Source organism: Homo sapiens, chromosome 11 (assembly GCF_000001405.40).
Source record: "Homo sapiens chromosome 11, GRCh38.p14 Primary Assembly".
NCBI lineage: Eukaryota > Metazoa > Chordata > Mammalia > Primates > Hominidae > Homo > Homo sapiens.
In genome coordinates, this window is record NC_000011.10 from 10,796,473 (window position 1) to 10,809,144 (window position 12,672).

At 41.7% G+C, this 12,672-nt stretch overlaps 1 protein-coding gene and 1 non-coding gene across 4 annotated transcripts, besides 3 other annotated features; both read right to left on the reverse strand.

The window, feature by feature from the left end:
• Window positions 1–573: 573 nt before the first annotated feature.
• On the reverse strand, window positions 574–12,454 carry EIF4G2 (eukaryotic translation initiation factor 4 gamma 2). 3 transcript variants are annotated; one of them, NM_001172705.1, is made up of 22 exons: window positions 11,077–11,524; window positions 10,783–10,909; window positions 10,348–10,413; window positions 9,435–9,575; window positions 8,441–8,543; window positions 7,815–7,946; window positions 7,665–7,731; window positions 7,427–7,578; window positions 7,008–7,118; window positions 6,739–6,822; window positions 6,558–6,656; window positions 5,822–5,963; window positions 5,577–5,737; window positions 5,189–5,302; window positions 4,490–4,615; window positions 4,259–4,363; window positions 3,960–4,175; window positions 3,618–3,876; window positions 3,080–3,284; window positions 2,741–2,952; window positions 2,520–2,641; window positions 574–1,409 (listed from the first exon to the last, which is right to left on the reverse strand). In NM_001172705.1, the coding sequence occupies exons 2-22, from the start codon at window positions 10,821–10,823 to the stop codon at window positions 1,344–1,346; spliced, it is 2,724 nt and encodes a 907-aa protein (NP_001166176.1). In that variant the 5' UTR covers window positions 10,824–10,909; window positions 11,077–11,524; the 3' UTR covers window positions 574–1,343. The 3 variants fall into 3 exon arrangements, with proteins under 3 accessions (NP_001166176.1, NP_001409.3, NP_001036024.3); NM_001418.4 differs by lacking the exon at window positions 11,077–11,524 and adding an exon at window positions 12,233–12,454 and having other exon boundaries at window positions 582–1,409; NM_001042559.3 differs by lacking the exons at window positions 5,189–5,302; window positions 11,077–11,524 and adding an exon at window positions 12,233–12,454 and having other exon boundaries at window positions 582–1,409.
• Window positions 4,995–5,136, reverse strand: SNORD97 (small nucleolar RNA, C/D box 97). The gene has a single exon (NR_004403.1). It is a non-coding gene; the product is annotated as a small nucleolar RNA, C/D box 97 (small nucleolar RNA).
• Window positions 11,227–11,306: an enhancer, noted in NCBI's record as "active region_4448". NCBI's record gives its function as "activates an Ori minimal core promoter by ATAC-STARR-seq in GM12878 lymphoblastoid cells {active_cell/tissue: GM12878}" and the evidence as "EXISTENCE:reporter gene assay evidence [ECO:0000049][PMID:35858748]".
• Window positions 12,037–12,296: an enhancer, noted in NCBI's record as "active region_4449". NCBI's record gives its function as "activates an Ori minimal core promoter by ATAC-STARR-seq in GM12878 lymphoblastoid cells {active_cell/tissue: GM12878}" and the evidence as "EXISTENCE:reporter gene assay evidence [ECO:0000049][PMID:35858748]".
• Window positions 12,577–12,626: a silencer, noted in NCBI's record as "silent region_3154". NCBI's record gives its function as "represses an Ori minimal core promoter by ATAC-STARR-seq in GM12878 lymphoblastoid cells {active_cell/tissue: GM12878}" and the evidence as "EXISTENCE:reporter gene assay evidence [ECO:0000049][PMID:35858748]".

A 12,672-nucleotide genomic window follows, 5' to 3' on the forward strand; every position in this document is an offset into this window, starting at 1 on the left:
TCCAGTAGCACACTTCAAGAGTCCCCATCCATGCCAATGTTAGAAGTAATCCTAGGATTGTCAGAATGTTCCAGGGCTGGAGACAAATCCTTCGTGTGTGTTTTTGGAAAACATGCAGAGGTTTAGTTGAATGAAGTCAATTTTACTGGGACACTGGAATTTTTCCAGAGGAAGCAGGGATCTTCCTGGACATTTGGGGCAGCTACTGGGAATGATGCTTGCAGGACAGCTAAGCTTATCCAGAGATCACCATGTATTTCAGTCTGACAAAAGATAAATTGTCACCAAATTTTAGTTGCTATGTGTAGCTATGTTCCTCCAAATTCATAAGACTTGTGATCTTTGATCATAAAAATCGTTTATATTGGTTAGTTTCAGTAACTCAAAGGAAATAAACACCTTAAATCTTGTGTCTCATCTTGAAGAGTCTAAAAATTCCTTCTGGAACCCAGGCTTGTACAGCAGAAAAACAAAAATTGGGAAGTCCTTAAGTCAAACTAAGGTGGGTCTCCTATACCTCAAAAACAAAGCTGACAATTCTCCCAGACTATGGATGCCATTTACAGCCACACATCACTACATCAAGTATCACAATGTTTATTGATAGATACAAGTATATAAAATCAGGGCATGAACATGACTTGATAAATTAAGTAGACTTAATTTCAATACTATAATAGGAGGGACCAATTCAAATTCTCACCATTTGTTTCACACCCACAAAAACCACTTCAAGGGCATTAACGATCTCTCAAAACTGATCAGTTTTGTGCAAGTAAACCATGTTTCTTTTAAAAAGACTTGTGCACTTGCCCAGGCTCAAGGATATTAAAATCTAGCACATAAAGCCCATTACTAGAGGTAGAAATACAGGCAATATACTATTACGGCAACAACCATCAATTACAGTTAAGAATTTTTCTGTAACAACCAAATGGATAATCAAATATTGCAACAACTCAAGTATTACTGAGCAAAGTGCATTTCTACAGTATTCAGTGTTGCTATTCAGTTTTCTAACTTAAAACAGCCTATGATAACTGGCAGCAAAGAAGGTCCTTGCAATAGACTGCCTCTGCTTGAGAACTTATGATGTAATTATTGCATGCTGCTAATATACTATCTAAACATTAAAGATACTCCTAAAATATTTGATGGTAGACTATGATTAAGACATTACACTACAAAAAAACCTTATGCAGAAGGAAATCCTAACTGACGTGCTTCTGCTTTAAATATTGTGAAAACATTACAGCGGAATGAATTTTCGCAGTGGTTAGGTCAAATGCAGTTACATCATAGCAACAGTATGTTTTGCACAATTTAAGGCTTTGGCTGGTTCTTTAGTCAGCTTCTTCCTCTGATTCTTCTTCTTCAGCAGTTTCTAACCAGGTTAGCCACTGATTCACCTATAAATTAAGATTTGTAAATTAAAATAGTTCATGATATAAACAGAAATCCATCCAAAAAGTTTTAGGTGGTACTACACAGTTTTAGAATATGAAACAAGGATATCCCTACCAACAATTTGTATATTAAGTTAACGAACAGTGGTATATTATCCAGATTTGGGACAACACAGAGCTAAAGATTTAATCCTGCAAGGATGATCCTCGTGAATCTTGTTTATCATCAGCAATAAAAAGGTAGGAAGATGCTGCAGGACCAATGTTTCTCAAGCCTGGGCCCCCTGGAAAACTAGTAGCATGAGAAAGAATCACCTGGATTTTGTACCACAGACCTACTAAACCAGAATCTCTAGGAATAGGCCTGGAACCTGCTTTTTAAACTGCTCTTCAGGTGATTTGAGAGAATGCCCTGATGTTCTTCCCCTAGGGCTACAAGTTCATTCAATAAGAAAAAATCAAATTGTGAGAAATCAGAAACATCTCCTCTTTTTAGAAAAATATATAGTATTTAAACTTTTTTTCTTTTTTTGAGACACAGTCTCACTCTGTTGCCCAGACTAGAGTGCAGTGGTGTGATCTCAGCTCACTGCAACCTCTGCCTCCTGGGCTCAAGACATCCTCCCGAGTAGCTGGGACCAGGACCACAGAACATGTCACCACGTCTGGCTAATTTTTTGTATTTTTTAGAGACAGGGTTTCACTATGCTGCCCAGGCTGGTCTTGAACTCCTGAGCTCAAGTGATCCTCCCACCTCAGCCTCTTAAAGTGCTAGGATTACAGGCATGAGCCACGTGCCCAGCTACAATTTCCTCTTTACTGATGTTTTTAAAAAAGCTTAAATCGAAACTTGTACAGTCACTCCCATGTATATAAGTAGCTATACTCCTTGAAAAGTTAGCTACCTCTAACATCTTATACACCACTAGAATTGATTCATTGTGTAGCTTTACTTAATAATAGCTTCAAATAGTGCAGAATGAAATGTACAGGTGAAGACAAACTACTAACTAGGACTACCTTGCCTGTATTTCAGTTGAAAAAGGCTCTTAACTTGAAGTTAATACCAAGCAAACTGAAGTAAGCAGACCAAATTTTTAACAAAAGACTTACCTGGAACAAAGCCTTGCCTTTTCCCGGAAACTCTTGGGTTATATCTTCTTTCCAAGCCAAGAAAGCTTCTTCTTCAATAATTTCCATGTCATAGAAGTGCACAAAAAAGCGAAGTAACATGCCTTAAAAAAAAAAAAAAAAAGAAAAAAGTAATAAGCCCATTATTTAGTGTTCTGTTTAAGAACTTCCTCACGCCGTTCTTCTGATACAAGTCCTCTCACCTTTTGGGAAGTTGCTGTTATAGCAGTGCACCTGGAGAGCATACAGGGCACTGACTTGTAGATCAACGTGATCATGAAGAAATTTCTGCATTACTGGCTTGAAAGATAGTAGTAGTTGTTTTTCCTGCTCTAACTGTTCTTTGGAAGGAGCAGAGGATGAATCTGTTTCATCGCTGGGGGGGTTTACTTCACTAGAAATGTACTGTAAGAAGCTGGACAGAAAGAGGTCTTGTTAGAACCCAACAGTGAGTTTTCTTGCTCAAGAGACAACTCTTAGTCTCCTACGCTTCTTTTCCAGTACATGAAACATTACCATATGCAGAAAACCATTCGTCTTACCTAGTCATTAAGATGTTCACAAATCCTTTATCTACATGAAGTTTGGGAGAGATGTTATCTTTAATCCATTTATATATGGTTTGAGGGGATGGATCCAACTTTATTTGCTTCAACAGTTCCTTCTCCAATTTGAGGAGTGGGAATAAGAAACTCAGTCCCTTTCCTTCCAAAATCTCCAACATGCGGTCCTTATTCTGATCAATTTCTGAAGAGACAAAGCCACCTGCATCATCTAATAGTTCATTTTACCAAGTTGTCCTGTCCAGAGAGCAGAGCTTCACAAATGATGTCCCCAAGTATGTAAGATCCATGTAGCAGAATAGAGAACCAACCCAGCAAATGAAAAAAACTCAACATACGGATCAAATGAAAGTAGTTAAATTATAAATCTCTCTTTATAGGTGAGATCTGTGGTAATGTTTATCATTATCTGAGCAGGACAATCAGACTGTCTGACCTACATAAATCCACTCAAGGTACCTGAAATCTCTAGATATAATATTAAAAAAACAAAACAAACAAGTCAGCATTCTCTTACCTGGGAGCATTTTCTGCATATTGACCTTGCTTTGTTGAAAAAGTTCTGTTAACCATTCTCGATCTTGTAATTTAGCTAACTGCTGAAGACAAAGTAGGAAGAGAGGAAAATGGGTGCCACTTTCTAGTGGTTGAGCTAGTTCTGAAATGCTCACCAGCTCTGAAATGATGGCACGAGCTGCAAACTGTGCTAAATAGGATTTCACCAAAGGGATGTCAACCTCCAGTTTGGGACACTGGTCCAATACATTCAGGAAAGCCTTGAAAGAAATATACAACAGTTTATCAGTTTTCGAATTTGAGTGGTAAGAGTTCTTACCACACAATCAGTAAAGTGTCCTACCTGCATGAAGTTGTCACTTGTGGCTATCCCTTCCTGTTTGAGTAAACTGATCAAAGAACTTGCTTTTTCTTTATCTTCATCGCTTCTATCTAGTGACAGGATGATTACTTTGCTTAACATCTCAGGAAGAAAGTGTTTAGGAGCCCTCATTTCTCTTACACCATTGACAGCCTCATTTGCATTTCCACTATTTAGATATTCAGTCACAACAGTTTCCTGTGAAGAACACAAGTATCTTTAATGTATTCTCTATCTCAAATACAGGCTAATTACACTAAAATGGGATATTTGAAACTTACAGTTAGTTTAAGGAGTTCTTCCTTTGACGGTGGTGGCTTTTTGCTGGTCTTGGCAGGCTTTTCCTGGATAAGCGGTGGATTAGTTTTGAGACCAAGCTGAGGTGTCTAAAAAACAAGCAATGACAGACTTTTTTTAAAAAGAGGACTATGAAATTAGGGGGAAGAACACACTAAATTTAGAAAAAAGTCTTCAGATATCTTTAGAAAATGCTGTCCTACTATGGTCTGTACCTGTCCCAGAGGTGGTGTTTGAGTGCGTGGTGGTTGTGCACTAGGAGGAATCATAGTTATCTGGGGCTGAAGCTTTGGCACTTGATTTTTATTCATTAGGAACGACTGAGCAGGCCTCAGGCTAATCTGGAATTGAAAACAAAATATATCTAAATTAACAACATGCAGTTGGCGAACATATTAAATACAACATTCTAAAATCCTATACAGTGACAGAATCTAGGGAAACATTAAGCTTTTTGAAAAACTAAAGAAGGTACTCCACATTAACAGGTTTAATTTTTGGCAAAAAATTTAAAGATCTGATGCATACAGTAGTAAGATACTATTATAAATCTTACATTCTCTTAGAATTAGCATGACTAAAATATTCAAATAAAAAACTGCAAATTTAACTACAGTTTAGAAAATGCCCTGTTTTATCCTTAGTTAAATCACCCTTACAAAGAAAGAAACCACAATATTTTGACAACCAGTTTTCTTGCTCTAACAGACTTTAGGAGACTTGCCCTCATATCTCATAATCTTCGCTCACAGGACGCTGGACATTCAAAGAAAGAAAAAGAAGTATAGAAAAGAGAGAAAAACGTCAAGAACTCCAGCATAAAGTCCTCTTAATAACGCGTCTTTTTATAATCATCGGGCAATAAATTTCTGAATGGACAAACTATGGTATATAAGTAACATAGGCAAATGTACCTCATCTGCATTAAGCTGTCCTTTCTTAGAAAACCGAGGTGGCATATCCTTCGACTGTCCTTGCAGCTGGGATAAGAGTCCCTGACTCTGGTTATGGTAGAGCTGGCTTAGCCCCTATTTCAGAAAAGGAGAAAGAAAGTCTAGATAAAAAGGGGTCCACAAATTATGGTAATCAAGTACCAAAGGGATGAGCCAAGCCATAAAGTTAGTTTAACTGAATTTGCCCAGAGAAAGTAAAAGATGAAACAGGGAAGAATAAAAATCTAACCTATCAAATAAAGTGATGTGATTTTACTAATACTTTACTAATCTTAAGGATAAACATTTCAGTTTGAAATAAATGTTGCAGATAAGGTTTAGAAAACATGCACACTCAAATATTACTTACCTGGCTTTTCATAAACTTGCCTCCCATCTCTCCAAACTGCGATTGTGTGGGAGGCATGATGTGTCCCCCATGGCCATTGAAGAGTTGATTTGAACGATGACGTCCCATGGTGGGTGAAAATCTATCCTGGATAACTCCTGGACCAGTACCAATTCCGCTACCTTAAAATACATATACGGACAACTCTCAAAACTAAAGTTAACTGATTTTTCAGCTTAACGCAACCATTGTTTTTTCAAAATTACCTGGCATTTGTCCAAACATATCAGCAAGTCCTCCAAGTGGGTCCCTATCCATTTTCATCCTGGGTGGCATGAACGGTCCCTCCAGAAAGAAGTCACTTCTCATCCCTTGAGCCATAGGAGCAGGAATAAACACCCCTAGATCCTTTAGAAATGAAGTGAATATGCACTTTTTGTCTCTGGACACTATTTCACTTAAAACTAAAATTCTTGCAACTAGGGGGGGAAACCTAGAATATTAAACCATAATTTATGTTATTTCTGTAAATAACTTCTTCCAAAAATGGCAGACAAGGCTGGGCATGATGGCTCACATCTGTAATCCCCCGACTTTGGGAGGCCCAAGCCTTGGTTTGCATGAGGTCAGGAGTTCAAGACAAGCCTGGCCAACATGGTGGAACCCTGTCTCTACTAAAAATACAAAAAATTAGCGGGGTGTGGTGGCGCACGCCTATAGTCCCAGCTACTGGGGAGGCTGAAGCAGGAGAATCACTTGAACCTGGGAGGCAGAGGCTGCAGTGAATCGAGAATGCGCCACTGCACTCCAGCCTGGGTGACAGTGCGAAACTCCGTCTCAAAAAATAAAAAAATAAAAGTGGAAGACGAGACACTAAAAACATTAAGCTCCACCACTAAGATGAGACAGACCCCTCAAGCGTTTGGGGTGGGTGAGGAGGAAACCCATTCTATTCTACACACACAGAGTCTATGTGACAAACAAAACAAAACCCAATCTTACTTTTACTGCATCTTGACGAATTTGATTGATCGTCTTTGGTCCATTGTCAAGAAAAGCCTTGCGAGGAACCCAATGGTGTTCTCGCAACTCTACGGTATCCTTTAATTGAAAAATAATTTTATTTTAATATTCCTAAACCAAAAACTCAGCTTACCAACAAATTTAAAGAAACCAGTATTACCTGCAGCAGGAAACGAATCCTTGCTGGCAATTCCTTACTTAACATCAAGGAGCACATTCGGGCAAAGTACTGATCCATTAAGGACTGATAAGAGAAGAATACATTCATTGGAAGAGCTAAAGCAAATGTGTTCAATTTACAGCTTTAAGACTTCTAAAATTATAACCCAGTTAATGGCTAAATATGGCAATCCCTTATGATGTCACAAAAATCAATAGCTTGATTTAAAGACAAACTACTTGTACTACTTTCATCAGCTACACACGTACCTTGGCTCGTTCATGGTCTAATCTAGGTCCCACTGTCCTCATTATCTGACAGAGGCACTCCAAATCCTCTCCCATATCTTTGAGTTGGACTCTCTTCTTCTTTTCCAAAAGCTACAAGAATAAAAGGCCATGGTGACAAAGTTTTAGTTACTCTGGTTTAGGCGTAGTACTTTCTTTCCCTTTATGTTTGCACTGACTCATTCACAGTTCCTACAGAATCTAGTATAGGGCTTTCTACCAGTCTGGTTGATCAGTTCTAACTCTACTTTGTCAAACACACCACGTATTTCAAATTATTCTGTTTAGTAAATTTTGTTGCACATCTGTATTTAACTAGTCAACCTCCCTCTTAGATGAATAATTGACTCATTTCCTCCAAACGACTGACTACATTCGCCTAACTTCCCTGTCACACTTACTGTTTTGATGCACTTATGAAGGATAGATTCGTGAATAAGATCAAGCTTGCCAAGCTCTCCAATGAATTTGATGTTTCCCAACATCTTGATCTTAGCAATGGCTCTCTGTTCCTCCTCCTCGGGGAGGAGGGGATTTTCACGCTTATCATAGACTGAAAAAGATACCAATGAAGTAAGCCAACATTCAGAATTAAGCTGAAAATATACAGTAGTACTTATTATCAGCTATAAGTCTTACCATCAACATTTCTAGTTCGGTTTTCAAATTCATCTTGTAATTTGGAAATTAGGAGGCGTCTGAATGTCTGGAAAAGAAGACATTGTCATGCTTTATTAAGGAAATTTTTCAAGTCAACTTTAAAACAAGCAAACAAAAACTACCACTTACGGTGCTTTGCTTCTGTCCTGGTTGACCCTCTGCTGCTGGGCCATCAAAGTTTGGTGCATCTTCTGCCAATCGCAGACATAGCTGAGCATACAGTGAGCTATACTTTGGCTCTTCTAGGGCTTTGTCCACAATCTACAGAAAATGTCATTGCTTAAACTAAATATGAAAACTTCTCCAAGAACCCTTCCTTTAGGAAAAATACAACCACCTAAATGTTAGCTATTACAGTCTACCAAAAATGTCCAGTTATACAGATTTCATCTAGTCACATCCATCTCCTGGGAGTCAGAAAATGCCATGGATATCAAAACTTTCAAGTCTACATAAACTGTCATACAATGCATTTCCAAGACCTAAATACGGTGTTTTCCACAAAAGAAAAAGAACAGCTTGCTAAGCACTCCCATTTACCTCTTCAACCATACCATGAACTTAACATTTACCTCTTCAATCTAATGCTACTAAAGTCAGTGGTTCTTTTTAATCACCATCAGTATTCAAAAATACATACCTATCTAACTCACACCTAAGGGTTTTAAGTAGTAATCCAAGTGTAAAAAAACACAACTTGAGTTTGTTAAACAGTTCCCTCTCCCTTTTGAGTTAAGCCAATATTTAAAACTTACCAGCAGTATGACCCCTTTAAGGATGAGTTTAGACTCTACACCCACATTGAGGAGCTCAAGGCATAGCTTGTCAAACTTTTCAGGAGTAAGCTTATTTAGTATGCTGGAGAAAAAGGAATTACATTTTAAGTGTTAGCTAATACACAGAATTTGAATTGAAAAACTGCTTTTAAATTATACTGATTTTTCTTCTAACTTGCTCCCTTTAAAAAATCAAGACATGTTTTCTTACTCATCTAAAACCAAAGGGATGCTGAAATAAACCTGTTATTTTAATTACAATGATTTGAATTGGACTGGGGGGTCCCCAGCTGTTTGACAAGAATCCTTTCTCACTTTCTCAAGGTTAGAGCGCAAAGATCTCATTATCAAGGCTAGACCATGAACTAAGACCATTATATTCCCTGCCTCACTGGCTTAAATAACATAGCACTTCCCTTAGTCAAGGGAAATGCTAGCATGACAGGATTATGGATTGCAATCCAATGGCTGAAAGCAACGGGAAGCCCCAAAATATGACGTGCTGTTCTTCAGTTCAAGATACATTTTTTTTTTTTGAGACACAGTCTTGCTCTGCACCCAGGCTGGAGTGCAGTGGCGTGATCTCGGCTCACTGCAACCTCCACCTGTGGGGTATTCAAGTGATTCTCCTGCCTCAGCCTCTCTAGTAGCTGGGACTACAGGCGCCTGCCACTACGTCCGGCTAATTTTTGTATTTTTAGTAGAGATGGGGTTTCAACATGTTGGCCAGGCTGGTCTCAAACTCCTGACCTCAAGTGATCTGCCCACCTCGGCCTCCCAAAGTGCTGGGATTACAGGCGTGAGCCACAGTGCCTGGCCAGTTCAAGATATTTTTAAAAATTGCTACCATGAGGATTCATTAAAACATACATACTCTGGGCATGAACCTTGCCTTCTTAGTAATACAGCACACACACCAAACACAGCTAATCCACACTTCCCATCTTTTAGTAAAACAGACCTTGAAACTTACCCTCTTACTTTCCTGAAGATTGCATCATGTCGTTCTTTTTCGTTTGCGGAGTTGTTTGCTGCGGAGTTGTCATCTCGTCTAGTGCTTCGTGCAGGAATCCATTTCTGAGCGTTTTGCCCTGGGGTTTTCCCCAGGAACTCGCTGATTAATAAAAATCAGCAAAAACACTTATTGTCACACACCAAATGTTAAACATCATAAATTCTCTTACATAGAAAAAAGTAATTTAGGCTTTCTCGACTTCCCCTCCAAGAAAGCCAACTCTGGAAATTAGTGCTTCTGGAACAGTAGTGTGCATCAGAATCACCTGAAGGGCTTGTTAATACAGATTGCTGGGCCCACCCAGTTTCTGCTTTCACTGGTTTGGGGTGGGGCCTAAGAATTTGCATGTCTAGTAAATATTCCCAGTATCAACGCTGTGGAACCACATTTTGAAAATTAACATTTTTTTTAAGAGATGGGGTCTTGCTGTCTTGCCCAGGCTGATCTCAAACTCTTGGGTTCAAGCGACCCTCCCACCTTTGCCTCCCAAAGTTGTTGTTGGGATTACAGGTGTGAGCCACTGTACCGGCTGCCAATAAACACTTTCTAATGTTTTATTGACCATGTTGAGTGCGTACTACTTTACTAATAACAATCAGTAGGAATAATAGCTACTGATTTCAGAAAAACACATTAGTAAAAATAACCCAAAGAATAAGGAAAAAAATAACAGCTTGAGAGTCTCAACTCACTTAGAAAATTTGGCTAAGGAATAATCAGGAACTGATATTCTGTATTTAGGATACCCAACAGAAACCACGCCCCTTAAGATTAGGAGTCTTGATGGCTATTGCCTTAATTATACCGTCACATGGGAAAGACTTTTAATCTGTTAAATAAAGCTCACTGTTTTTTTACATGTTTACCACACCTGTTGCCAGCAGTCTTGGGATAGTGCTGAGGTGCACCCCTACTTCCTCCTCCGCCCGAAGAAGCACTATTTAAAAGAAAAAAATTGTTTACTGTATCCCAACTATGTCTCACTCAAAAAGAATAAGCATCTATTTTGTGTTTTGCTTTGCTTGTAGAGATGGGGGTCTCGCTATTTTGCCCAGACTGGAGCCAGGCCTGTATTTTAGTGCTTGTATATTATGCTACAAATGAAGACTGAACTCGGACCCAAAGGAAAGGCAAATAATTGATTTTATTTATTCTTCAGATGGCAGTTCTTAGAAGGCTGTCAATGAAAACTTAAGAACTTTTCAAATGAAAATTGCAGCCCATTAAGTCGGACTTATTTGCTGTGTTAACTACTTTTTGAGACTGGCCTTTTCAAAAGGATTCCCCAAAATAAATCTACAAGTACCTGAAACGAGAAGCACCCCCTTCTGCAATCGCACTCTCCACTTTGGCGGCTTGACAACGAAGAATCTTCAAAAGAATAATATTAATAGATGGGGTGGGGAGGGGAGGGGACAGGAGAAATGAAATACCTGGAACGAGAAAGAGCACCAAAATTAGACACTGCTAACATACAGATCTATAAGCCTTCATTCAATTACAACGTATTTCAGATCCTGGCACTGTCACTGCATTGCAGATCTGTAAGACTAACCTAAAATGTACTCAAAACACTGACAATTACATTTTGTTTAGCCACCTGGAAATTCCCCGGTGTTCAAGGATGCAAAGAGACTTCGTAGAACACAAGAGCATTTTAAACGGCTCAGAACGAATCTTTTGAAAAAGCCACATTCTACTATCTTTAAAACTGAGCACTGAGATCAATAGAAAAGTCTAACTACAGACACGAGCAACATCACGTGGAAAATGTCTGCCCTAGGAATTTTTACTGCCTTGACGAGGCCAGCGACTAGATGAGGTCTCTCCGAAAGCTCTTCAGCAGTTTTCCCCTGTCCACCCTTTCGCCTCCTCCCCGTGGAGAGCTCGTGGAAAGACGCGCGAGAGGGGGCCGGGTGTACAGGACTAGCACTTGCAGGCGGAAGACCAGGGCCACAACATGGCAGCAGGAACCTCCGCCCCGTTTTTCCCTTCCTGGGAACAAAAGAGCGGAGCATTCCTCCCACCCAGGCGCAAGTTAGGGAAGTGCTTCCGACAACCTCCCCGCGAGGCCCGGGTCGCTCGACGGGGAGGAGCAGCTGAGGCCACCCCCGCCAGCCCGGCGCCCAGCTCTTTGTTCTCCAAGCAGGAAGGCGGCCTCCTGCCCACCCGCCGCCTCCAAGCGGGCCCCCTCCTGCACCATAAATCCCCCCGGGACTGACAACCGCCTCGCCACGGCCTCCTCTGCTGACAAAAGGGGCAGAAATCATCACTCTCTCTTTCCTCCCCGACGAAGGGCAGCCCCTGCCGACTCCAGGTCCTACACACCTCCCCGCCGGGAGGCCAGGCTCCGGGACGCCTGCGGTTCCCTGGTCCCGCGCCAACGGCCTGGCCTTCCCTGCCGGCCCGCGTGCCTCCCGCCACGGCGCTAGCGGTCCGAGCCACGCTCCCTCGCCGTCCGAGCACAGCCGTGCCTCGGTCCGCCACGGCCTCGTCCCTGCAGGCGTCGGCCATCCGGCCATGACCGCACGGCGGCCTGGCCAACACTGACGTTTTCCTTCTACTCCGTCAGCAACAGGAAGAGAGAACAAAAGCCAAGACTTTCCAGGTATCTGAAGCGCAGAGGAAATGCTAAAAAAGGGTCGCCCCACCCGGCTCCGCCTGCGGCCGCCATTTTGTACCACTCGAGAAGAAGCGACCAGGGACGGCGGCCATTTTAGAGCGCTCCACTCGGCGGCGGCAGCGGCTCAACTCACCTTCACCGAGAACTCAGCAGCTGCCACCGCAGCTGCCTCCTCAGGATCCGGTCGTCGGGGATAGGGAAGGGAGGGGAAAGGGGAACGGAAAACAAAAAAAAGGGGGAGGGAAGGGGGAGGAAGGAGTCGGGGACGGCCTCAAACTCAGCTCAGAGGAGTCGCTGCTGCAGCCGCCACTCGGTACCCGCTGCCACCTCCATAGAGCTCCGACTCACTGCTGGCGCTAAGGCGTGTCTGAAGCCGAACTTATCACTCTTGGGGCAGCCGAACCCACCAGAGTCTCCCCGAATGGCTCCTTCGCCGCCCAATCAGCGGCCCGGTTGCCGTCTGCCACCAATCCGCGCAGGGCAGCGAGGAGGAGCCACAGGGCTGAGCTCGGTTGCGGCGCAGCCCCGCCGCAGTGCGCAAAGCCATATTCGCGAAGTCTCTGAGGCTGAGCC